The sequence below is a fragment of the Homo sapiens genome, chromosome 10 (assembly GCF_000001405.40).
Source record: "Homo sapiens chromosome 10, GRCh38.p14 Primary Assembly".
In the NCBI taxonomy this organism is placed as follows: Eukaryota; Metazoa; Chordata; class Mammalia; order Primates; family Hominidae; genus Homo; species Homo sapiens.
Window position 1 is genome coordinate 25,110,720 of NC_000010.11, and position 25,986 is coordinate 25,136,705.

General features: G+C 42.6%; 1 long non-coding RNA gene across 1 annotated transcript in view, besides 1 other annotated feature; it reads left to right on the forward strand.

Annotated features, from left to right (window-relative positions):
• Nucleotides 1-2,338: 2,338 nt before the first annotated feature.
• LINC01516 (long intergenic non-protein coding RNA 1516) overlaps nt 2,339-25,986 on the forward strand; it is a 48,176-nt gene continuing 24,528 nt past the window's right edge. Inside the window, exons 1-6 of the long non-coding RNA NR_120649.1 lie at nt 2,339-2,967; nt 5,893-5,986; nt 6,573-6,694; nt 13,582-13,672; nt 15,107-15,186; nt 15,532-15,779. This is a non-coding gene — a long non-coding RNA (long intergenic non-protein coding RNA 1516). The remainder of the gene's footprint in view (nt 2,968-5,892; nt 5,987-6,572; nt 6,695-13,581; nt 13,673-15,106; nt 15,187-15,531; nt 15,780-25,986) is intronic.
• Nucleotides 2,656-2,705: a silencer, noted in NCBI's record as "silent region_2233". NCBI's record gives its function as "represses an Ori minimal core promoter by ATAC-STARR-seq in GM12878 lymphoblastoid cells {active_cell/tissue: GM12878}" and the evidence as "EXISTENCE:reporter gene assay evidence [ECO:0000049][PMID:35858748]".

The following is a 25,986-nucleotide window of genomic DNA, read 5'->3' on the forward strand; positions in this document are numbered from 1 at the left end:
AAGGTGTAGAGAGGAGGCAATAATTTGGTGGGTTTTTTTCTGTTTTTGTTTTTGTTTTTTTAAGCAGAGTCCCACTCTGTAGCCCAGGCTGGAGTGCAGTGATGTGATCTCAGCTCATTGCAACCTCTGCCTCCTGGGGGTCTAGCGATGCTCCTTCCTCAGCCTCCCACACAGCTGGGACTATAGGCGTGTGCCACCACACCTGGCTAATTTTCATATTTTTAGTAGAGATGGGTTTTTGCCATGTTGGCCAGGCTGTTCTCAAACTCCTGACCTCAAGTGACCCTCCTGCTTTGGCCTCTCGAAGTCCTGGGATTACTGGTGTGAGCCACTGCGCCCAGCCTGGTTGTTCTTTTTTAATTTTGTTTCCATTTTCATCTACAGTCAGGTTAGAATTGGTAAGAACCAACTAGAAAAATGGCCAGTGGAGGAGAGATGCTGACCACCAATACTTCTAAATCTAAGGGCCAGTGTGTTCTAAAAAAATTCAGGCTGGGTGTGGTGGCTCACACCTCTAATCCCAGCACTTTCGGAGGCCAAGGTATTTGGATCATTTCAGGTCAGGAGTTGAAGACTAGCCTGACCAACATGGTGAAACCCTGTCTCTACTAAAATACAAATATTAGCCAGGTGTGGTGGTGGGCACCTGTAATCCTGGCTACTCGGGAGGCAGAGGCAAGAGAATGGCTTGAACCCAGGAGGCAGAGGTTGCAGTGAGCCCAGATTGCCCCACTGCTCTTCAGCCTAGGTGATAGAGCGAGACTCCGTCTCAATAAAATTAAAATAAAATTCAAAACTATTACTCCACATCAGGAATTTTATCAGTTATTGTAAAAGAGGGCAGACGAGTGGATTTTCTGGCTCTCTCATGTCACTTCCCTATTTGAGAGCCTTTGCTCATGGGCTTCTAGTCCAACAGTGCAGCCCAGCCTGAAAGGGCTGATCTGACTCCTCCTCTCCTCTCAATCCCATCTCATCCTGCTTCTCTCTCTCTTTCTCTCTTTTTTCTTTTTTTTTTTTTTTTTGAAACAAGGACTTTCTCTGTCCCTCAGGCTGGAGTACAGTGGCACAATCATAGCTTACTGTAGCCTCGAACTCCCAGCCTCAAGCAATCCTCCCACCTCACCCTCCAAGCAGCTGGGACTACAAATGTGAGCCAACATGACCAGCTAATTAAAAAAAAATATTTTGGAGACGGGGATCTCGCTACATTGGCCAGGTTAGTCTTGAACTCCTGGGCTTCAGCGATCCTCCTGCCTTAGCCTCCCAAAGTGCTGGGATTCTAGGCGTGAGTCACTGTACACAGCTCATCCTGTTTCTCACTGCAACCAACACTCACCGTGCTTGCAGAGCATCCCTTGCTGCCTCCCACATCTTTGCCTTTGTTCACAATATTTCTTCTGTTCACCCTTCTCTTCCCCTTTCTATCCATGGATTTCCTGACTCTTCCTTCCCCTCTTGGCCTCCCTATTTTATCCACCACACAATACCCTCTTCAGATTTCTGTCTGAGGACTGATAACACTTCCTCACAGATATTTGTTTAGATCATGAGCTTACCCTGTGACTCTCTGAACTCCTATGATGGATTGCGTGAACTCCTCAGTGCTGGGCCCGTTTGACACAGTCTTTTGGAAAGACACTTAACAACTTCCTGCCTTAGTTTCTTCATCTGTGAAATGGGGATAACAAAAGGATTGTGGAGGAGATAAAGGAAGTGATATGTCTAATAATGCATAATAATAATAAACATAATAATTACTGATATCCATGACATATAACAACAACTTTCCTAATAACTAACACAACATTCACAATGTATCAGGTTCTACTCCAGGGGTTTTACAAATTTAACTCATTTAGTCCTCTGGGTAAGCCTATCAGGTAATTTCTCTTATTACCCCTGTTTACAGATTAGAAACCTGAGGCACAGAGAAGTTAAGGAGTTTTCCCAAGGTCACACAGCTTGTAAGTGATAAAGATGAGGGTTGATTCTGAGTAGTCTGGGCGCCAGAGCCTATGCTCTTAGTCACCAAGCAACACTCCTTCAAATGATCGGTGTTTGTTAATTACCATTAAGTATAAATTGTCTAAAATCTACGATCAAGCTAAGCCTGGAAATTAAAGACCAATGAGCCAATCCACATGGAATACCACTCAGGGGCTGCCTTAAAGATATGAGCCAGCCCTGAGGGTTTCCCTCCTGTCCCCTTACTGACAGGTGGACCAAAAGAAAGGGAAAGAAAACCACATTCCATCTTCACAGAGGTTCCAGTTAGTTCCTAGGCAAACAAGAAATCAAAAGCATCCACAGATGTTGTGTCTACCACCCTGATGCAGAAAGAGCTTAAGGAGAAGCTCTGACAAGGGATAGACAGTTTACTTATGGAAACAAGCAGAAAATTAAATCTGGTCTCTGCCCAGCAAGCATCTCACCTCCCACCATAGCGTCTGGCAGAGAAGTGAGCCAAGGTGGCCCCTGGCGCAGCAAATGTTTGGCACATCCATTTGCACAGGAGGGGGAAGAAGGCGCATTCTCAAACACCCTTCCCATCACCTTTCAGGATCTTAGGTGCCTTCTCTACAGCCATGGCACAAACCTTTACCACTAGGGGGCGGCTAGACATTTCGATTGGCTACCAGGCAAGCGGCCAGCTCAGGACAGGAGCAGTGCTCTGTGAAAGAATGGATTCCTGGTTTGTTCTAAGTACAAACAAGGGGGAAATGCTTCTGCAGGGTTAAATGAGGTTGACACGCTCCCCGCGGCTGACCAGACAGTCCCTCCTAACTCTTACCCACCCTGGGCAGCTCTCTCAGCGCGGTGTGGGGCGGGAGTGGGAGCTGATGGGGGGTGCTCTCTATTCAGACTCTACTTGTTCTAGACTGAGTCACTGGTGGGGGCAGCGGTGTTTGAAAGTGGGCATCACTCTTGGGCTCCCACATTGACTGTAGTTTTACGGAATGTTTGGTGAGTAACTAGTTTTCTAACTTTTCTTTATTTCTCTCATATATTTGTCCATGTTCTTTCCTATGTCATCAAAGAGGATGCCAGGAAAACCCAAAGAAAGGCCCTAGGAGGAAACCAGTATGAGTGCCAAGATGAGCCAGAACCAGGGTGGGGCTGAGAGGCGCCCAGGCAGCTGCTTTCATTGTGCACCTTCCCCTAGTCCCAGCCCCAAATCACCATGGTGACAGATACCCAGCAGCATTGAGAAACAGAGAGCTTTTTGTTTTCTGCCATGCTTTTAACTCCTCACTCCACTTGTCTCCACCTCCACCCTCTTCAGCCTATACAACTTCTTGCTCATTCCTGTGAAGGTATTGGCTGATAAGAAACAATAAGGACTTCCTAAATAGAGGACTTTGGTATAAAAGTAGCTAACATTTATTAAGCGCTTACTATGTGTCAGACACTCTCCTCAATGCTTTGCAGTATTGGCTCACTTAATTCTCTCAACAATGTGGCAAAGAAGGTATTTATTTTACAGATAAGGTAACTGAGGCACAGAGAGGTTATGTAACTTGCCCAAGGTCACACAGTAGATGGGGGAGTCACAATTTGAATCTAGGGAGTTCTTACTCTTAGGCTCACACGTTGCTTGAGATACCAGAGAACATTCAGACATGTGAAACACTGGACTGTGGGCTACCAGGGGGCAGAAAGGGATTGTGATTTGGTGTTCTTAGTTGGCAACCCCCACAATCACAAACGATGTCTATGTGGCAGGCTGGCTGGGGCTGAGAGCTACTGCCTTTGGGTTACATTTGAGCAGATTGCTGTTCTTCTCCTGAATACCTGGTTTGGCATCCTTAGGGTTGGTTTATTATGACCCTAAAGACTGGATTTACTTTGTTTTCTTTTTGTTTTTTTTGAGGTGGAGTCTCACTTTGTCACCCAGGCTGGAGTGCAGCAGCACAATCTTGGCTCACTGCAACCTCCGCCTCCTGGGTTCCAGTGATTCTGCTGCCTCAGCCTCCCAAGTAGCTGGGATGACAGGCGCCCGGCACCACACCCAGCTAATTTTTGTATTTTTAGTAGAGATGAGGTTTTGCCATGTTGGCCAGCTGGTCTCAAACTCCTGACCTCAGGTGATCTGCCTACCTCAGCCTCCCAAAGTGCTGAGAATACAGGCGTGAGCCACGGTGCCCAGCCTGGATTTCCTTCTTATTCTTAATCTGATCTGGCTCCCTCCAGATGATCGTGAGCCCGGGATCAAGAAGCCATACCCTATCCATCTTTGTATTTCCCACAGCTTCCACATCTTGGGCTTAGTAGGTGCTCACAGCACGTTGGCTTATTTAGTCTGTATCAGCCACTTTGAATTATGGGCCATGGCAAAGCTGCCCTTCTGGGACAGGCAAGTGTCATGTCCTGTGGCCGTTGATCCTTCCCTCCCTCCCTTCCTTCCTCCCTTCCTCCCTCCCTCCCTCTCTCCCTCCATCCCTCCCTCCCTTCTCTACCTCCCTCCTTCCCTTCCACCCTCCCTCCCTCCTTCCCTCCCTCCCTCCCTCTCTCCCTCCATCCCTCCCTCCCTTCTCTACCTCCCTCCTTCCCTTCCACCCTCCCTCCCTCCTTCCCTCCCTCCCTCCCTCTCTCCCTCCATCCCTCCCTCCCTTCTCTACCTCCCTCCTTCCCTTCCACCCTCCCTCCCTCCTTCCCTTCCACCCTCCCTCCCTCCTTCCCTTCCTTCCTCCCTCCCCCCTTCCCTTCCTCCCTCCCTCCTTCCTTCCCTCCATCCTTCCCTCCCTCTCTGCCTCCCTCCCTGTTCCTCATCTCTGCAAAGGGGCAGCATTTTTTTTTTCTCGATTCAGATTTAACATGAGGGGGGCGGTTCTCTCTGTAACTATGAGAAAGAAACTGTCCTGTGTTTCTGACTGCTCAACATGTTTTTTTTTTTAGTTGTATATGAGTAGAAAGGGCTAGAAAAATCTACCTGTTGTTTCTAATTACTTACCTTCAGTATAAAGAGTAAACTAAGCTCTATTATCTTATCTCAACCTGTCTTGTATCTACTATTTCCTGTGCTTTTCTCTGCCACATGCTTCCTTTCCCCCTGTGTGTTTTATGAGCATTGCAAATTATTTTGTTCTTCATCCTCTTTTTTTTTTTAGAAACAGGTCTCTCGTTCTGTTGCCCAGGCTGTATTGTAGTGGCATGACTGTAGTTCACTGCAGCCTCGAACTCCTGGGCTTCAACTTCTGATCCCCAGCTTTTTGACTAACTGAACTCATCAAAATATGAATTTAGAGACTGAAGCCCGTTGACCAAAGGCTTGAATCCCAGGAATCCCCAGGATGCAAGTATCTTTCCTGAGTAACAGGATCTCTGGGAGACCCTAGATTCCTAGAGTAGGGCAGACTTTGCTTTAGAAAGAAAATTTGGGAGTATGCAGAACATTCTGGAACCCTTAATCTGACCCAGAAGAAACAAGGGTATAAAGACCAAGACTGACTGTAAGCCAGAATTGCTCCTTTCGAGGTGTGAGGGTGAAGCAGCCTCACTTGGCATGTGTGGTTATTCCAGTCCACGCCTTGCTGTAGACATTCCTGAGATCTTTCATCTTCCCCTGCCATTATGTTCCCAACACATTGGAAATAAAATTCCCCAAATCGCTTCCTCCATATGGCCACGCCTGATCAACCCTAAAGATCTCTGAGTCTTTCTTTATTCTACATCCTGTCATCATCTAAATTCCAAAATTTAATTATGGATTTTTTTCCAGACTTCTTCTATAGACCTGGAATATTTTTAGCATCTTTTCTGCAATAAATGAATTGGTGAGGATCTTGAGGTTATATGGAAGGTTTCCTACAGTTGTGTGTTTTAAATGAAATTTGGCTTTTATATTATTTTGGTAACCTGTGAATCTTTTGCTTAATAAAAATCCTCCAGGCTCTCTGCGTGATGTTTTTACTTACCAAAGACACAGACCTGGGCTTCCTGGGGTCCCCCTTCTGCAGCTGTGATAATCAGCAGTCTTCCCAGGGTGAGAGTCTGCTTAAAAGGGCCCCTGGGAATTTATCTACATCTTAAAAAGTTCCATCAGCATCCAGAAACAATATACCCTACCACGTAAGGTATGAGTTCTGCTACTCAGCAAAGGCACATTTTCCAGGCCTGGGTTTGGGGGTGTGGGTCCTGAAATTCTCTCTGTGCCATACTTATGTAACCTTTCTTGTTGTGCACCTGCACCACAGCCCAGCAACCTCCCTTCCCCTGTTCTGGGATTTCAGGATCTAGGAATATTCCATTAAGTCCTGCCTTTTCATGAGCAGACCTGGGCCTGCCTGGCATACAAGTCTACCTTCTTCAGCCCCTTCCCTCTCTGTATCTCACAGGCTTTGCTTGTGGTTTTCCACACATGCTTCACCAAGCTAAATTGAATCTGGCCAACGGGAATACTGGAGGGATGATTACCTGCATAGAAGCATTTAATAAACACTACATTTGAAGCTGATAGATTGCTGATCTTCTCATGGCAATAATGAACCTCCTTGGCTATTTCTTTATGCCTATAAAGATATTATCCAAATGAATTAAGCATATTTTAATTAATATTTTGGTTTTTTTAGACAGAGTCAGGTTCTGTTGCCCAGGCTGGAGTGCTGTGGCATGATCTCGGCTCACTGCAACCTCCGCCTCCCGGGTTCAAGCGATTCTCCTGCCTCAGCCTCCTGAGTAGCTGGGAGTACAGGTATGCACCACCATGCTCGGCTAATTGTTGTATTTTGCGTAGAGACAGGGTTTCACCATGTTGGCCGGGCTGGCCTCGAACTCCTGACCTAAAGTGATCTGCTTGCCTTGGCATCCCAAAGTGCTGGGATAAGAGGCGTGAGCCACTGTGCCAAGCCAGCTTTTTTAAAAAGGTAAACAAACAAACAAACCAAAAACAACAACAAAAAACCCAGAACCACTAATCAAAACAAAATCAATTGGAAAAGAATTTGAATAAATTTTCTTATTTTTCTCCTGAGAGACATAGAGAGTAACAGGAAAGGGGAAATGTGGAGGGCCGCTCATTAAAACATGTTTTAAGAAATTTGCTGTCTATTTCAGGAAGGTTTACATTGAGCCTTGTAACTTAGACAAATGAAAGAAACGAAAAGGCGGCTCATTAGTTGATATTTTTCTGGAAGGCTGATTGATAATGTTTTCATGTATTTGAGATAACCAAGTACAGAAAGCAAAGTCATGGGATATGAGTAACGTCCCATGACCGTAGGGACCGCTGTTGATATATGGATGTCTATTTTCTGTCTGTTGGGCAGTGTGTCTGCGATGTCCCTCCCACACACTTGCCTTGCTTTTTTCTTCCCCTGACCCTTTCACATGACTGACTCCCTCTTGGTAGTGACTTTTCCTAAGATTCTTTTGTTGTAATCTAGTCATGCTGTCCTTATACAAAGGAAAGTGCTAGAAATAGGTACTCAAAGGATGACACAGCTTTCCTTCTCCTCTGAAAGGGCCATGACCTTATTCAACACAGCTTCTACTAGGTATTTTTAAAAATTATTATATATATATATATACATTTAATTGATATATGAGTTGTACATATTTGGGGAGTACCTGTGCTAGTTTGATATCTGTATACAATATTACTACGTCTTAATGTTTCTATGCAAGTTACCAATGGTCTTCCTTTTACAGATGCTAAAGGCAAAAATCTATGTCACCAAGCCCAGGTAGAAAATTCATCGCATTTCACAGGATTAATGGTGGCAATCCCAGTTTGGGTTGTTCTTCCATGCCTTGGTTAGCCCCTTTTATGGGAATGAGGAGAGGCAGGAAATGCTGACAATAAATGGTTGTAGCCAGACTCATTTACTATTTTGCTTTTTTGTTATTGTTGTTGTTAAAATGGAGTCCCTACTATCAAACTGGTCTTTAAGAAGAAAAAAAAAAAACGTCTTGCTCTGACATCCAGGCTAGAGTGGAGTGGTGTGATCATAGCTCACTGTAGTCTCAAACTGCTGGGTTTAAGGGATTCTCCTGCTTCAGCCTCTTGAGTAGCTGGGACTACAGGCATGTACCGCTCTGCCTGGCTTGTTTTTTTAAAAAGTGGCATCATTATTTTTTTCTGGCTATAGAAGTAGTTCTTCTGACCATTTAAAAAGTACAGAAAAATATGAAGAATATAATTAATAGCCCACAAAATACTAGTGCTATTAAATTTTAGTGTCCTTTCCATCCATATTTTCTAAAAAGAAAAATAGAAGTATTTGATAAAGTTTCAGTATAATGACATATATATGTATATATATACACACACACACACACATATATATATATACAATTTCTATTACAAGATTGGAATCATATTCTACATAAGTTTTCTATCCTGTTTGCACTTAGCCGTATCAGGTGGCCATTTCCTGAGGTCTTTAAATACTTCTCAAAAACCTAATTTTAATAGCTTCACAACTGTCCACCTGATATGACTGTACCAGGATTTATTTAACTGGTCTCCCACTTGCCAACATCTCAGTTGTTTTTATAGTTTTGACTATTCTAAAGCAATGATAAATAGCCTTTAGGTAAATCTTGTATTCTCAGTTTCATTCCTTAGGGTAGATATCTAGAAGGTGAATCACTGGGCCAAGTGGTAGAAGCACTTCTGGAGCACGTATATGTGTGTGTGTGTGTGTGTGTGCGCGCATATGTGTGTGTGCGTGTGTGTGTGTGTGTTTGTGTGTGTCTTGCCCAGTGGTCTTTGAGAAAGACAGATGCAAACTAAAATCCTATCAGCAATGGATGAGAGGCCCAATCCCACTGCAATTTTATTAGCACTGTTTGTGTGTGCGTGTGTGTTTGCACGCATTTAAACCCGCCTCTGCAAATAGATCAAATGGGATAGATAAGAAGAGATGGTGTCGGATTTTAGCTTGCATATTTTACAATTAGTGAGATTGAGTAATTTTACATAGATACTTGGATAGATAACGTGCTGATCAGCTATTGACTTGAAATATATTCATTTTTCCAGTGGATTTGTAAGGTTGTTACGAGATTTGTATGTTTCTTTTTCTTTTTTTTTTATTCATGTTCCTTCTTATTATAGCATCTGAAATAAAACTAGCTCTGCACATTTAGGAGTTGGGACTCTGTATGTATTGAAATGAAATATAAATCATAGAATTATTGTGGCATTTGAGAGCTAATCAGATCACACAAGCAAAGCACATAGCGGCGGAAGGGAAGGCATAGGAGAGACAGCCTGAAGTTGGTAGAGCAAACAGTGGTATTGTTGAAGGATTTGAGTTTAAATGAAAACTGTGAGGAGGAAATTATTAATCATTCCCTTGATTTTATTTTTATTGTCCTATTCCAATGAATCCAGATGCCACTGGTGAGGTAGGCGGCTTCTATGTACAGAACCACCCAGAAAGCTTAGGATATAGGAGTCAAGGGCACCTGCTTTGTACCAGAGCTGTGTTTGGGCATTGCCTGGGCATTTTATATTTACTTTTCAACTACCCTTAGGCAAAAATTGCTTAACCTCTCTTAGCCTCAGTTCCATCAACTGTGATATGGGAATAATAATACCTCCTCCCCTGTGTTGTTGTGAGGATGAAAAGAAAGAATTTATGTAAGCCTGGAGCACAGTGTGTGACACAGAATAGGAACCTGATATATGGTCACTGTCATTGTGATCGCATAGCAGTATGACATGTCACCTGCAGCCAGCATCTTGTGCCGAGGTCACTGTGCAATGCCTCTGTGTAGTTCTTGGACGGTAAAATGATGGTAAAATCAATTCAATTCATTCTTCTTACTAATGCAAGTTTAGCCATGTGGCCTGTTAGCTGGTTTAATTTACTACCCACCCCCATCATGTTTCAAGGGATGTTGATTTTCTGAACCCAAATGGAAGTGCAAATGACCCAACTAGAGGAAATGCAATAAAAAGACCAATCAAATATATATCAGTGTGTTTTATTTATCCTCCACTCCTGTTAGTCTCTGGATTTGACAAGTAGAATATGGTGGTGGACAGGAATGCAGACCCTGAGGTCTCTGTGCTTTAATCGAGTAACATGCTTCTTGATATCAACAGTCTTAGGACTATTGAAGTCATGCCTTTTGGCTCCTTGAATGGCTCTGTTTCTATTTATTTTCCATTTCTTTTAAATTTTAATCACATTAATCATATACACATAAATAATTTGGATATTAAAATTTGAACCTCATACAAGCAGCCAATATACATATAAAAGTGCTCAACATCACTAACCATCAGTGAAATGCAGAGTAAAGCCTCAGTGAGATATCACCTTGTACGAGTCAGAATAGCTATTACTAAGCAGTCAAAAAAACAACAGATGTGGAGAAAAGGAAGTGCTTATACACTGTTGGTGGGAATGTAAATTAGTACAATTTCTATGGAAAACAGCATGGAGGTTCCTCAAAGAACTAAAAATGGAACTATCATTTGGCCTAGCACTCCCATTACTGGGTATCTACCTTCCCAGAAAAGAAATCATTGCATAAAAAAGGCACCTGCACTCATGTTTATCACAGCATTGTTCATAATAGCAAAGTCATAAAATCAACCTAAATGTCCTTCAATGGATGATTGGATGAAGAAAATGATGATTTTCTCTCTCAGCCGTAAAAAAGAATGCAATCATGTCTTTTGCAGCAACGTGGGTGGAGCTGGAGGCCATTATCTTAGGTGAAATAACTCAGAAACAGAAAATCAAATACTGTGTGTTTTCACTTATAAGTAGGAGTTAAACAATGGCCACACATGGACATAGAGATGGAAACAGTAGGCACTGGGGATTCCAAAAGGGGGAAAGGAAGTGTCAGAGGCATATAATAAATGCACAACAAGTTTTTCTTCAAGCAAAAACCTGCTTATGATCTGCTCTTTAACAAAAATTGTAAAAGGTTATAAAAGGTTTATGAGACTCTTACCTTATGGTCAAATTGATTAAGATTAAATACACTTGTCTATATGGTCTTATTAAGAATTTGGTTTGACATCAATAATGCACTAATGCAACAGTAACATTTGGCCTATTTGGTATAAAAGTCATACAGGAAGCATTATCAAATGTGAAATAGTGTTTTTTTTTGGGGGGCTGTATTTGTATAAATGTGTTATTGGTACATGATCCAAAATTGTGGGAAACTCCTATAAATCTGGTATGACTTAGTGTATGTTATTAGTAATTATTATGTTAAAATCATTCTATGCCACAGAGGTAACCAAATTTCTTTGTCAATCAAGTTTTTGACTGTAGCTGTCCTAAGATGTTTTGTCATCCACAGATAATTATTGTCTTGTTTTAATCCTCTTTAGAAGATGGTTTATAATCAGCTATAGGACTTTTTTTCTTTTTTTTGAGATGGAGTCTTACTCTGTCGCCCAGGCTGAAGTGCAGTGGTGTGATCTCGGCTCACTGCAACCTCTGCCTCCTAGGTTCAAGTGATTCTCCTGCCTCATCCTTCTAGTAGCTGGGATTACAAGCATGTGCCACCATGCCTGGCTTATTTTTGTATTTTTAGTGAAGATAAGGTTTCACCGTGTTGGCCAGGCTGGTCTCAAACTCCTGGCCTCAGGTGGTCCACCTGCCTAGGCCTCCCAAACTGCCGGGATTATAGGCATAAGCCACCATGCCTGGCCAGGACTTTGACAGATGTTCTTAAATGCAAGTTTCTGATAACTTTGGAGATTGTGACGTTAGAATAGAGGAAAAAAGTTTCAGGACACACGGAGAACTGGAATGTTCATACATATCAAGCAGAACAGGAGTTAAATGAATTGACTGAACTAACAGCAGTCTAAAATGATCTTTTTCACTTTTTGCTTAAAACATTGCTGATCCTTTGTTTTCCAGAGTCCAGAAAACTTTTCTTTTTAGTTATTTACAGCTTTTAACAATTGAGCAAAGTGTACTCCTGTGAACAAAATCTGGAGCATATTTGTTTCTCTCTACCTGATTTCTCTAGAATTTGGAAACTATTTGTAAGATCTTAATTTATGGCAATATAATTATTTTCATAAGTGCAATAAGAACCTGTTTTCTTTTGCCACAGAACAAAATTGGAGAAATTGGTTATTTTACCAAGGCTTTGACTGGAATGGATGCTTTCCTTTAAGCAATCAAACTTGACTTGTAAAGCCAATGAAAGCCGCTTGGGGAACTGGCCTATACTTTGCCTACAGAGTCCCTATGCAGGGTTTCTGACCTGTGGTAAGTAAAGAATGTCACTTTCTAACAGGTCCAGGAACCCCAAGTTATCTTCGTACCCCAAGAAAAGAAGAATTTACTCAACTCATAGGTATTTGAGAGTACAAACCCATGGCAGGGTTGGGCTCTAAAAAAGTGTTATCTAAGATTCCTTCTATGCAACCGAGTTCCATCAAAGCCAATTTAAAAAGAGCTTATGTGAAAAACAATTATTCTTGCTACAGTTTATACAAATAATCAGGCCAAGTATAATAAAGCAAATCAGTCTTACCATGATTTGTCTTTAATAAAAATGGGAAACTGGAGAGAGAAGTTATGTTTCAGAAATTATGGTACACTTGTATTAAATTTTAGTCTCATCAGTTGTTTTTAAGTTTGTTTCTGCAATTTAGGCTAACCCTGCTTATTCCTGTGAACCAACCAGTGATCTCTGACTGCTGCTCAGAAAAAACAAGAGGGATAGGTAATATAACAATCTAAATCAATATTCTAATTCTGGGCACATTGCAATCAACTAGCAACCCCATATCAGCTTGGTTCCAACAGTTGCCCAGTTCATGGAAAGCCTTCTAATTTAGTTTACTTGGAATAATTTTACGTATTTTGCTTTACTGTTGTGGAATATATTGCTATTGTACTCTTTGTATAGGAATGCAGGATAAGCTTACTCAACATTGTCTTAAACTGAACTCTTATTATTTTTTCAGATAGCACCTTTTGTCAGAACTTAAGAGTTATGAATGGCCCTTACCATACTGATGCTTTCTGACTGAGCTCCTCTCTACCCCTAACACAAGAGACTCTAATAGTCAGCCAGGAATAGATCATCACCCCTATTCAGCCTGAAGAAGTTACAGAAGATGAATCTTTGTCCCTCTGCAACCCTTAGGATTAAGGGTTCTTTTATAAAAGGGAGGGGGGAAATGTAAGAGGTGTGTGAACCAGTGCAACTCCATCTTGAATGGGAGCTGGGTAAAATGAGGCTGAGACCTACTGGGCTGCATTCCCAGATGGAAGGCATTCTAAGTCACAGGATGAGATAGGAAGTTGGCACAAAATATAGGACACAAAGACCTTGCTAATAAAACAGTTTGCAGTAAAGAAGCTGGCCAAGACCCACCAAAACCAAGATGGTGACAAGAGTGACCTCTGGTCGTCCTCACTGCTATATGCCATAACAGTTTATGAACGTTATGGCAATGTCAGGAAGTTACCCTATATGGTCTAAAAAGGGGAGGCACGAATAATCTGCCCTTTATTTAGCACATCATTAAGAAATAACCATAAAAATGGGCAACCAGCAACCCTTGGGGCTGCTCTGTCTATGGAGTAGCCATTCTTTTATTTCTCTACTTTCTTAATAAACTTGCTTTCACTTTAGTGACTCGCCCTGAATTCTTTCTTGTGTGAGATCTAAGAACCCTCTCCCGGTGTCTGGATCAGGACCACTTTTCTGTAACAGTAGGAAAAGGGTAAGTGTTGAAAAGTGACCTACTGGGTACAATGTTTACTATTTGGGTGATGGGTACACTAGAAGCCCCAACTTCACCATTATGCAATATATCCATATAACAAACTTGCACCTGTACCTCCTGAATGTAATTTTTTTTTAAATTAACTTACTAGAAGTTTTCTCCCACAGAGACTCCCACCTCCCCTTTCTATTTCTTTTGCCCTCAAGAGACAAAACCCACCTATTTGAATATTAGATACATTAGTATTAGTTAAAGGATTTACCCAAGAGAACCCAAGAACAGAGACAGGGCCTGCTTGGTGGCTCATGCCTGTAATCCCAGCACTTTGGGAGGCCAAGGCGGGAGGATGGCTTGAACCCAGGAGTTTGAGATCAGCCTTGGCAACATAGCAAAACCTCATCTGTATAAATAAATAAATAAATAAATAAACAAACAAATAATTAGCTAGGCTTTGTGGTGCGTGCCTGTAGTCCCAGCTACTTGGGAGGCTGAGGCAGGAGGATTGCTTGAGGCCAGGAGTTCAACGCTGCAGTGATCTATGATCGCAGCACTGCACTCTAACCTGGGTGCCAGAGTGAGACCCTGTCTCAAAAAGACAAACAAAACAAACAAAAAACAGAGACAAAAATAAAGCTCAGGATGACACATACAATTCAAAGGCTTCCCAATGACAAAACCACTGTTGAGATTGACAGCAACCATCCATGCATCTTCCTTAGGCGTGTCTTTTGTTCTCCTGGACGGCCTTGGCATGTCCTTTCACGGAAGGATCTAAGAGTCAGTCCCTCCAGGCACCACAGGAAACAGCTGCACTCCCAGGGATGCCTCTCACCTAAGGTGCACCCTTGCTAGAACTTGCCAGATTGGGGGCCCCCGGGAGCTGTGCCGGCAGAGGCGGGCTCCTGCAGCTGAAGCTGATCTCCCTCCTTCATGGTTTGGTGGGCAAGGAATCCGGTTGCCATGGCAACTCCAGCAGCCATTCAGGCTGGAGGGAACATTCCCTAAGGCTCCTCTCCATCTGTGTGTCCTTGGCGATTTCCCTGCCCTGGTGAAGGAGGTGGGGATCCACTTCCTCCAGGGATCTCCCCCAGCTCACCGATGGTATAAATGGGCAGGGGAACTGCGTTGTCATGGCAGCAACTCCTCTAGCTCTTCCATTCAGAGAAAGTCTGGCTCAGGGAATCTGCCTGGTGTTCCCAATGGCAAAGCTGGCAAGGAACTGCATTATCATAATGATTTCCACACTGTCTTTCCAAGAGAGGGTTGGCTTTGTTGGGTTCCTGCTGGAGGCTGGGCCCTTGTTCCCACTGCCATGGTAACATCCCCAGTGGCACGGACCAGGCAGGTTTCTCACCAGCCAAGCCCCAATGCCGCCTTTCAAGTCTGTTCTTGTTTCCCTAGACCCCTTTTCTTCTTTTTCCCAAACCCCAGACGTTCTGCTGGTGTCACCTCTCTTAATCCTTGAGATCACTGTGATCAAGTCTTTCTTCCTGCCCAAGACTAGTTTTAGGGTAAGATGCTGTCTTTGACTGTGTTCACCTTCCCTTCCGTCCATCAAAGTTCCCCCCAACCAAAAAAAAAAAAAATCCATTTTGGAAAAAGGAGGGTTTTGTATGCAAGATAATGGGATACAAGGAAATCAAAAGAGTAATCATCACGGGAATGTCCAACAATCCTGTAAGTCATACTGTGTTCATCCATGTGAGGGTGTCTTTTCCCTTCAACCCTCACAGTGTCTTCCTATTCCTGGACTTGGAGCCTTTGGTGGAAACAGGGGGCTTTGGTGTTGGAACATCTGGGTTTGAATCTTGTTTCAGTCATTTATTTTCTTTTATCATTTTTTTTTTATTTCTTAGAGAGGAAGCCCTGCTATATCACTTGGGCTGGTGCAACTCACCGCAGGCTCACTGCATCCTCAAACTCCTGGGCTCAAACGGTCCTCTCACCTCAGCCTCCTGTGTAGCTAGGACTATTCCCTGCCAGTGTGCCCAGCCTCAATCTGCTTTTACAAACTGAAAGATCATGGGAGAGTCACATCTTTCTGGGAAGGAGAATTAGAAGGAGGAAGTAAATGTCTTCCTTGCCAAATTGTGGTAAGAGAGAGGTAATGTATATGAAAGTTCTTTGTCAATACTCTAGGCACTTAACAGACCTTGATAATTTTGGTAATTTTTATTCCTATGGGACATTTGTAATTGATGTATTCATTGAGGTAGTCCTTCAGTGGATGAATTATGCGGCTCATTCAGATACTTCCCTAAGGCAGGCTCTATAACCTTCCAGGAGCATCACTTTTCTCATCTGTACAATGGGACAGTACCAGTCTCAGTGGAGGATTTTGAAGATTAAATGAGGTACTGAACAGAAATGCATACAGCAGGCCCAGGCAGACAGTTCCTGCCCAATTAATGGTTATTATTATTATCGATTGCCTACTATGTGCTCTTAACAGGATTCCCCTCTGAATTCTTCAGTGAGTTTGCTGCTGCTGTGGCTCAGGCCTTTCCCACGTGTACTCTAGTGCTTTATTTATTTATTTAGAGATGGAGTCTCCCTCTGTTGCCCAGGCTGGAGTGCAGTGGCACAATCTCAGCTTACCGTAACCTCCACCTCCCAGGTTCAAGCAATTCTCCTGCCTCAGCCTCCCGAATAGCTGGGATTACAGGTATGCACCACCACACCTGGCTAGTTTTTGTATTTTTAGTAGAGATGAGGTTTCATCATGTTGTCCAGGCTCGTCTTCAATTCCTGACCTCAAATGATTTGCCTGCCTTGGCCTCCCAAAGTGCTGGGATTACAGGAGTAAGCCACCATGCCTGGTCCTATTTTTCAATTGACAAATAATAATTGTACATATTCATGGGGTACATAGTGTTGTTTCAATTATAGAGAATGTACAGTGATCAGGATAATTAACATATCCATCATCGGAAACATTTATTGTTTCTTTGTATTGCGAACATTGTGTATACTCTTTTTAGCTATTTGAAACTATGTTATATATAATAATAATAATTATTATTATTATTGTGATTTTTTGAGATGGAGTCTCCCTCTGTCACCCAGGCTGGAGTGCAGTGGTGCAATCTCAGCTCACTGCAACCTCTGTCTCCTGGGTTCAACAATTCTCCTGCCTCAGCCTCGCAAGTAGCTGGGATTACAGGCATGTGCTACCACACCCAGCTAATTTTTGTATTTTTAGTAGAGATAGGCTTTCACCATGTTGGCCAGGCCAGTCTCAAACTCCTGACCTCAGGTGATCTGCCTGCCTCGGTCTCCCGAAGTGCTGGAATGACAGGCGTGAACCACTGTGCCTGGCCAGAAACTAAGTAATATATTATTGTTAACTGTAGTCATCCTGCAGTGCTATAAAGTACTAGCATTTATTCCTTCTATCTAGCGATAATTTGGTATCCTTTAAATCTCTCCCTACCCCTCCCTTTAAAGGCTGAGAATAAGCAAAAAGGGATGGGAACATAAAAGAACCCCTGCAGATAGTAACTGTGCCCCAGGACAAGGGGTTATTTGAAATGACCAGAGGGGCCAAAATACTTCCCCCTCTTTTAATTCTCAATGGTCGGTGCAATGGTTTCAATGTTTGTCTCCTGCACACCTCATCTTGAAATTCAGTCCCCAAGGTTGGAGGTGGAACCTGGTGGGAGGTGTTTGGATGATGGAGCTGGTCACGGATAGGTTAATGCCTTTCCTGTGGGGGTGAGTGAGTTCTCACTCTATTACTTCTTGCCGGAGCTGATTGTTTAAAAGAGCCTGGAACCTTCCCCCTTGCTATCTGATCTCTGTACCACTTTGCAGCTCCCCTCCACCTTCTACCATGAGTGGAAGCAGCCTAAGGCCCACCCTCACTAGATGCAGATGCCCAATCTTGAACTTTCCAACCGTCAGAACCATGAGCCACATAAACCTTTTTTTCTTTATAAATTGCCCAGCTTCAGGTATTACTTTAGCAACACAAAACAGACTAACGCAGTGGGTCAGCAAGCGTGGCCCTGAAATTTAGAGCAGGGACAAATTGTTTTGGGGAAACTTCCTCTCCTGGTTGCCTCTTTTCTTCCTTATGTCTCTTTATCCACCTTGACTGTCAATACCCTCTTGCAGACACTGGGACTCTTACCCAGGCCTACCCTCCCGCAAGTGGTGCCACCAGCTCTCAGACCTTCCCCGAGTCCTCCTTCTTCGAACTCACCTGACTATTGCTTTCAAGTACAGCTCAGTGTTCAGCAGTCTAATCAATAATTTATAGATAAGACATTAAAAAGTAATGAGCACATAAAACACTGCCCCTCCCAGAAAATATTTCTGCAGTTCAACTGGGACTTTCAAAGGCTTTGCTCCTAACCCCTTGTGAAAGCTTTCATATCTACATCAGCCTGCAGTGGTGGAGCCCTCCCCTCCCTGAACTACCACTAAACTTCCAGGACTTCAGATTTAATTGTGCTTTAATTATTTCATGTGCTAGTCTGTTCTCCCCAGTGAGACTGTAAATTTCAGAAAATATTTTTATGCCAGCATTATTGGGCATAAAATGAACTTTCAGTAAAATTTTTACAATTGATTAGTAAGAGTGAGCATTTTTTCAACCAGGAAAATGTCTTCTATCATGGAGTTATATTTGGAAAGTTGGATTCTCCTAAACCCCTGATGGATTCTAGCCACAATTATTTTTGAGGCTCTGTCTCTATTTGCTTCTTCCTGAATAACCACGATAGGATGATTCTATTTCAGTGAGGATGTCATCTCAGGTGGGCTAGCTTTAACAGAGTTCCTAGGATGGCTGTGTATAAATTTGCATCCAAAGAGGCAGCTGTGGACCTGTAAATATACTTTATTCGAAATGTCTGATTGTTTCTGATAAGCCATTGGATATCTTAGTTCCAGGAAGTCCAAGTTTAAAATAGATTCTATTAAAGGTAGTGAAGCGTAATGGGGTTGCATCTTCCTTATTGATTAGATATTTTTAAGATGTACCTTTTGCTCAAAACCAAAGGACAGGAATACAAGAAAAGCATACTCTAAGATAATTAATTAAGTCAGAGGAAAACGGTAGGTAAAAGAAAATAAATGTCTAAGCCAGCCAGGTTATTTCCATTTGTAAAGACTGTTTCTTTCTCACTAGAGTTTTTCAAACATAGGACCCCATCAGAAAAAGGTTGCTGGTCTCTAGCTCCCATGGGTATAAATTAAGGAAATGCTAATAATATCTCACTAGGTGTTATTAACTGTTATGAAGATATTTCAGGATAGAGCTGTTCATAAAGATAACATTCAATGCATCAAATTCCTTTTTCTGGCAGATAAATTAAAATGCCCTTTAAAAGGGAGTGCATTAGCTCACCGGGGTCAAAGTAACATCCTCTGCAACGCCAAGGAGCCTGGCTTTCCTCTGAGGACTGTTTGCAGAATTGACTTACGCTCACTCACACCATCAGAGGAAAGCTAAGTGAGGAGGACTCCAGGGATAGTTTTTCCTTCAGTAAGTCCCCAGAGGAAAAAATGGATACCTTGTGTCATGATATGGGGACAGAAACTGGGAAGGGAAGAGACATGGCTCTGGTTGCCTCGGTCCCCCTACCCAGAGGATTTAGGGGTAGAACATGCAGTGGGTGCTGTGGTCCAACACCCAGATCCCAAAATCCCCCCTCAGGATGGAGACATTCAAATGCCCTGATTTATGGGGGTGTTGGCTATTGAAAGTTCACCACTGAGTCCTTCCGGAGCAATTGTCAATAGTTGAAGAAAACCTCTTCACCCAGGGTCAGGTCTCTGCCACTGGAGGAAGCTGTAACTGGGGACTTGATGATGGGGGATGGGAATAAAACACAGGCTCCTTGCCTCAAGTGGGACTCTGAACGGCCATCCCAGCTCTCCTGCCCTCTGTGTGATGATGACTGAGGCCTTCATTAAGATTGCACTGCAATTTAACTCCTCCCTTTCCCAATCCTGTTTCTTTCCCTTCTGCATGAGTGTTGATTCTAAGAGCACTTCCCACAAACTTCCTCATACAAATCTTCATCTCAGGGTCTGTTTCCTGGAGGGCACTCAACTAAGACAGAATGTCTTTTAAATTTTGAACTAAGATTGAGACTTTTCTACTGGGGAAGTTTCTCTTGGCTCATAGAAACCTAAAACCTTAAGACATGACAGGGCAACATTAACCAATTTTGCAGAGAAGGAACTGACACTCAGAAAGATGAGGACTAAGGTCACACAGTAGACACTGCAGAATGGCCCCATGTAGAACTCAGTTGGGTTGACATCCAAACCAGTGGTCTGATCCATATCAAGTGTCCTCCCTGACATCTCCATGATAAGAAGCAGGCAGCTGATAGGCAGGTAGGTATGAACTTGCTCCCTTCCGAGAAAGGAGTGATGAGAGATACTGAACCAATGGAAGGGGGTCTACCCCATTCCTGCAAAGGTGTTTAGATTTGTGCTAAGACGGGGCCGCAAGGAGGTGGCCAGATTCCATGACTGCTCAGCTTCCTCCCATTTCCTTTCTTTTGATGTTGAGGGGGCTATGAAATAGGTAATAAGTGTCGTAGAGAAGAATGAGGAGCTGAAGAACCCTCTAGGCTCAGCTGGTCCCATCATAACAAATCTTGGCGAGGAGGACGGCTGCCAGAGTAACAGTAGCAGAGTCATCCTGAGCTCAGGCAGGCTGCAGAGTTAGTGCGGGTATGAAGCATTCCAGTGATTACACTCTTACTGTTTAGTAGGTCATTCTTACAAAATGCTTTACAGGCACTGATTCATTTCCCCAGAAGTCTCTCACCACATTATTGCCTTACTTTAGTGAATGAGTCTGAAGCTTTCCAGTGTCAGAGGAAACTGAAAAGTCTGAAGAGAGGTCTATAAAATTGCCTATTTCACAGCCCCTTTCAGAGCTTTTCTGTGGTGTATGTTGTTACTTTCCTTTCTGGCAAAATCTTCCCCTTCCTGCTTCCTAACCCCAATATTTATGGGTAAGATTGACTCCTGACACCTCCACCCTCTGCCAAAAGTGGGGAGGGGTGGGTCCTCAATGTCTTAAACCAATCAGCAGAATCCCATCCATGTTTCCATGGTGACTGTCTTAGAGAATCCCTTCCTAGTTCTAAACCGATGAGAGTCAGCCCCTTACAGTGTCCTGGTCTCACCGGTTAGTTCCAAGAGGATATGAGAGCTAACTTTGGCCAATTAAAGTGTAAGAATTGATGGTGAGAGAAATAAGTTTCTTGTCCTCCTAAATGGAACCATGTGGAGTTTCTTGTCCTCCTAAATGGAACGAGGTGGAGATAGGAGGCCTGGGACTGATGCCTCCATGTATATCCGTCTTGTCTCAAAGATGTCTAGCTTGAGGATGAAGGTAACACACCCTTGAGGGTGACATAGGTAAGAAATGTCACAGAGGAATGGAGATAACTGCCAAGATTGTGCTGGAGTCCTGAGTCCTGATCAAATAGCATTTGATTTTTACTCTATCTCTGGATTTTTTAAATTATTGTTTTTCTTTTTAACAGCCTTTAGAAAGTATGGCATCTCTGGACTGTTTTTTTTCTTTTTTCTTTTTTTATTTTGAGACAGAGTCTCGCTCTGTCGCTCAGGCTGGAGTGCAGTGGAGCGATCTCTGCTCACTGCAAGCTCTGCCTCCCGGGTTCACGCCATTCTCCAGCCTCAGCCTCCCGAGTAGCTGGGACTACAGGCGCCTGCCACCATACCCAGCTAATTTTTTTGTATTTTTAGTAGAGACGGGATTTCACCGTGTTAGCCAGGATGGTCTCCATCTCCTGACCTCGTGATCCACCCACCTCAGCCTCCTGAAGTGTTGGGATTACAGGCGTGAGCCACCGCACCTGGCCATCTCTGGACTTTTTAATTGTGCCTGCAGTTTATGTTGAGTTTTCTATTTCTTACAACGTGCTTCCTATAGAGGCCATATCCTCTGCATGGGCTCCTCTCCTGTGCAGTCCTAATCAGAGCCTGGGGAAGGGCAATTTCAAATAGAAAATAAAACTCTTGCTAAAAGGAAGTCAAAAGACTAGTTCAATGAATATCCACAGATGGAGTTTACCCAATAGTCTTAGCTCAACTTACCCTGGTGTTCAAGGACTCAAGTTGGAGGTCATGCAGATTGGCTTATCTAGATATTGGGCTTCCCTAAGTAGTTTGCAGTATAATATCCATGAGGAAAGTGGCATGTATTATATGGTATAATTATATAATTCTGTAATCCTAGAGTCCTGAATACATGTTTTGCATCTTATAGGTAATTTGAAAATGAGAGTTGAACTCATGTAAACTCGACTCCTGTTGCTGCTGTTGGCATATTTTCTAGGTGTTGGGGAGAAAGGACACTCCCCATGACACGGTCAAGTTTGGTGATATAAAGTCAAATCCCTTGGGTAGACTTCTCTCTTGTTAAATCACCAGCAGAGCACAGGGTCTGACCCAGAGCAGGCACTCAAATATTTGTTGAATAAATTCGCTTTGAATTTGGAACCACAAAACTCAAGTGGTGACTTAATTTCACACAATTCTAGTTTTCCATTCTTCAAAATCCTTTTTTATACTTTCACTTTCCTCTCTCTTAATGTACCTCTCTTACAAACTAATTCTGTGCTGTAGAATGGTGATTTCGGAGGCTGTGGGGGGAGTGGGAAGGTGATGGGTACAAAATCTCAGCTAGACAGGAGGAATAAGGGTGTTTTCTGAGATCTATTGCACTGAGTGGTAAATATAGTTAACAATAGTGTATTGTACATTTCAAAATTGTTAAGACAGTAAATTTCAAATGTTCTCACCACAAAACGCGATAAGTATTTGAGGTGATAGAAATGTTAATTAGCTTGATTTAATTCTTCCGTATGGCATTCGTGAATCATAACATCATTTTGTTCTCCATAAATATGTACAGTTATAAATTGTTAATTTACAATTAGAAAAACCCCCAAACAAACAAATTCTCAGCCAATAACTTGGGGTGAAAAATGACCAAGGAAAGAGTGGGCCTCCTTTGTATTTCTACCAGCAAATTCTTAGACCTCCCTCCAACTGCACTCATTTATTCATTCAAGAAACAGATGTTTATTGCCCTGTGGGTGCATAGGTGAAGAAGACAAAGTCCCTTCCTTTGTATATTCTAGTGGGGAGAGTAAACACAAATAATCATGTAAAACAAACAACCATGGTATCCTTTTGATGATGTGCTATGGGGAGAATGTGTGGGGTTTGGGGACTAGAGAGGGATTGGGAGTATAGTGGGGAGTGATTAGGGTAGTCAAGGAAGGCTGTTTTGAAGCAGCAGTGTTTAAGCAAGGACTTAAATAATAGAGAGAAATACATATTAAGATTTGTGAGAAGGACCCGGCACCATGGCTCACACCTGTAATCCCAGCACTTTGGAAGGCCAAGGGGGGGTGGATCACTTGAGCCCAGGAGTTCAAGACCAGCCTGGCCAACATGGCGAAATTCCATCTCTACAAAAATACAAAAATTAGCTGGTTGTGGTGGCGTGTGCTTGTCGTCCCAGCTACTCGGGAGGCTGAAGCAGGAGAACTGCTGAAACAGAGAGACGGAGGTTGCAGTGAGCCGAGATCACGCCACTGCACTCCAGCCTTGGCGACAGAGCAAGACCCTATCTTAAAAAAAAGAGTCCAAGATTTGTGAGAAGAACATCCAGGCAGAAGGAATAGCAAACACCCCTGGCTGGAGTCTCCTGTCTTTTTATTTTTTCTTTCTTTTCTTTTTATTTTTTTTTGAGACAGAGTCTTGCTCTGTCACCCAGGCTGGAGTGCAGTGGTGTGATCTTGCCTCACTGCAACCTGTGCCTCCCAGATTCAAGTGATTCTCCTGCCTCAGCCTCCCGAGTAGCTGGGATTACAGGCACCCGCAACCATGCCTGGCTAATTTTTATATTTTTAGTAGAGACAGGGTTTCACTGTGTTAGTCAGGATGGTCTCGGTCTCCTGACCTCGTGATCCACCTGCCTGGCCTCCCAAAGTGCTGGGGTTACAGGTGTGAGCCACCACGCCCAGTCCTCTCCTGTCTTTTTAATGGTGCCACTCAATTGCTCCAGCAAAGAACCTGAGTGTCATTCTTGTTTCATTCTTTTACTTACACCCCACATCAGGTCCATCCTCTAGCTTTGTAGCTCTACATCCAAAATCTCAAATCTGGCCACTTGACTCCATATGCACTCTGCACTGTCACTAACCCTTTGTTTCTAACATGGAACAGCTTGTTCTTCTGTTTCTATCTTGTTTCCCCACCTGTGAAAAATATCTATTCTTCATAAAACAAATAAATGATCTTCATAAATGATCTTTAAAAAGGTAAGACAACTTATGAAAATTCCCTGCTTAAAACTTTTCAATACCTTCCAATAACTTTTTTATTGTACCAAAATATATATAAGATAACATTTACCATTTTTAATAACACATTTTTTTGAGACAGGGTCTTGCTATGTTGCCCAAGGCTGGATTTGAACTCATGCACTCAAGCAATCCTCCTACCTCAGCCTCCTAAATAGCTGGGACTACAGACTTGTGCCACCATGCCTTGCTTAAAATATCGAATTTTTAAGTGTGTAATTCAGTGGCATTAAGGACATTCACGTTTTTGTGCAACCATTAACACCATCCATCTCCAGAACTTTCTTGTCCTACCAAACTGAAACTCTATACCCAATAAACAACTTCTAATTTTCCCCTTTCCATAGCCCCTGGCAGCCACCATTCTACTTTCTGTCTCTATAAATTTGCCTATTCTAGGTAACTAAAATAAGTAGATATATACTGTTGTCCTTTTGTATTTGCTTTGTTACACTTAGCATAATGTTTCTAGGTTCATCCATGTGGTAGCATGTGTCAAAATTTCATTCTTTTTAAGGTTGAGTAATTTTCCATTGTACATGTATACCGCATTTTGTTTATCCATTTATCTGCTGATGGACATTTGGGTTGTTTCCACCCCTTGGCTCTGGTGAGTAACGCTGCTGGAACACTGGTGTACAAGTATCTGTTTGAGCCCTTGCTTTCAGTTCTTTTTGGTGCCTACCAGGAAGTGAAATGCTAGATCAAGCCCATGTTTAATTTTTTGAAGAACCACCATACATTTGTCCACAGTGGCCGTACCACTTTTTTATTCCTGCCCATCAATGGCACAAGGGCTCCGATTTCTCCACATCCTCACCAACACTTGTTATTTTCTGTTTGTTTTGAAATAGTAGCCATGCTAATGGATGAAGTGATATCTCATTGTGGTCTTCATTTGCATTTCCGTAGTGATTAGTGATGTTGAGGACCTTTTCTTGTGCTTATTGGCCATTTGTATGTCTTCTTTGGGGAAATATTTATTCAAGTCCTTTGCCTATTTACGAATTGGACTTTTTTTCTTGTTGAGTTTTAGGAGTTCTTTCCATATTGTGGATATAAGCTGCTTATCAGATATATGATTCACAAATATTTTCTCCTATTCTGTGGGTTGTGTTTTTACTCTGTTGATAGTGTATGGTTGATGCATAAAACCTTCAAATTTTGATGAAGTTCAATTTATCTACTTTTTCTTCTGGTGCCAGTGCTTTTGGTGTCATAGCCAAGAAACCACTGCCAAATCTAATGTCATGAAGCTTTACCCCATTGTTTTCTTCTAAGAGTTTTATAGTTTTGGTTGCTACATTTAGGTCTTTGACCCATTTTGAGATAACTTTTGTATGTGGTGTTTCAATAATTTTAAAAATAAAATCCAAACACAATCTAGCATATCTTACAACTTTATCTCAGTACTCCAACCTCCTCACACTACCGCATGACATTGTTAGAGTCCCCTTTCTGTATTATTAACACGTTAAGCTTTTGTCCGTATCTGAACTTCTGTATTTGTTCCCTCTGTGTAGGTCACTCTGCATGGTTCATGCTGAAACATCATGTTCTTACAGAGGCCTTAACTGGCTACTCTCTCTTTTCTAGCTTCCCCTTCTATTCCCCTTCCCTCCCTTTTCAGGTTATTCTTCTTATTCCATCCCACTTATTTCTTGATAACACTTAGAAAGTCTGCAAGTGCCATGTGTATTTGTTTGCTTGTTTCTGGTCCATCTCCCTTTCTATAAGTGAGGAAATGTGTCTGCCTGGATCTCTGCTGTATCCCCTGCCTCTAGACACTAACCAGCACAAGCAAGTCCTCAATACAATTTTGATAAATGAATGACTGCATACAAGAATGAGTTCATTTAATGCATGGAAGTTAGTTCATGAAAGGCCTTAGGCAAGAATTCTCAATTTTATTTTATTTGTTTAAATACATGCATTCTATTT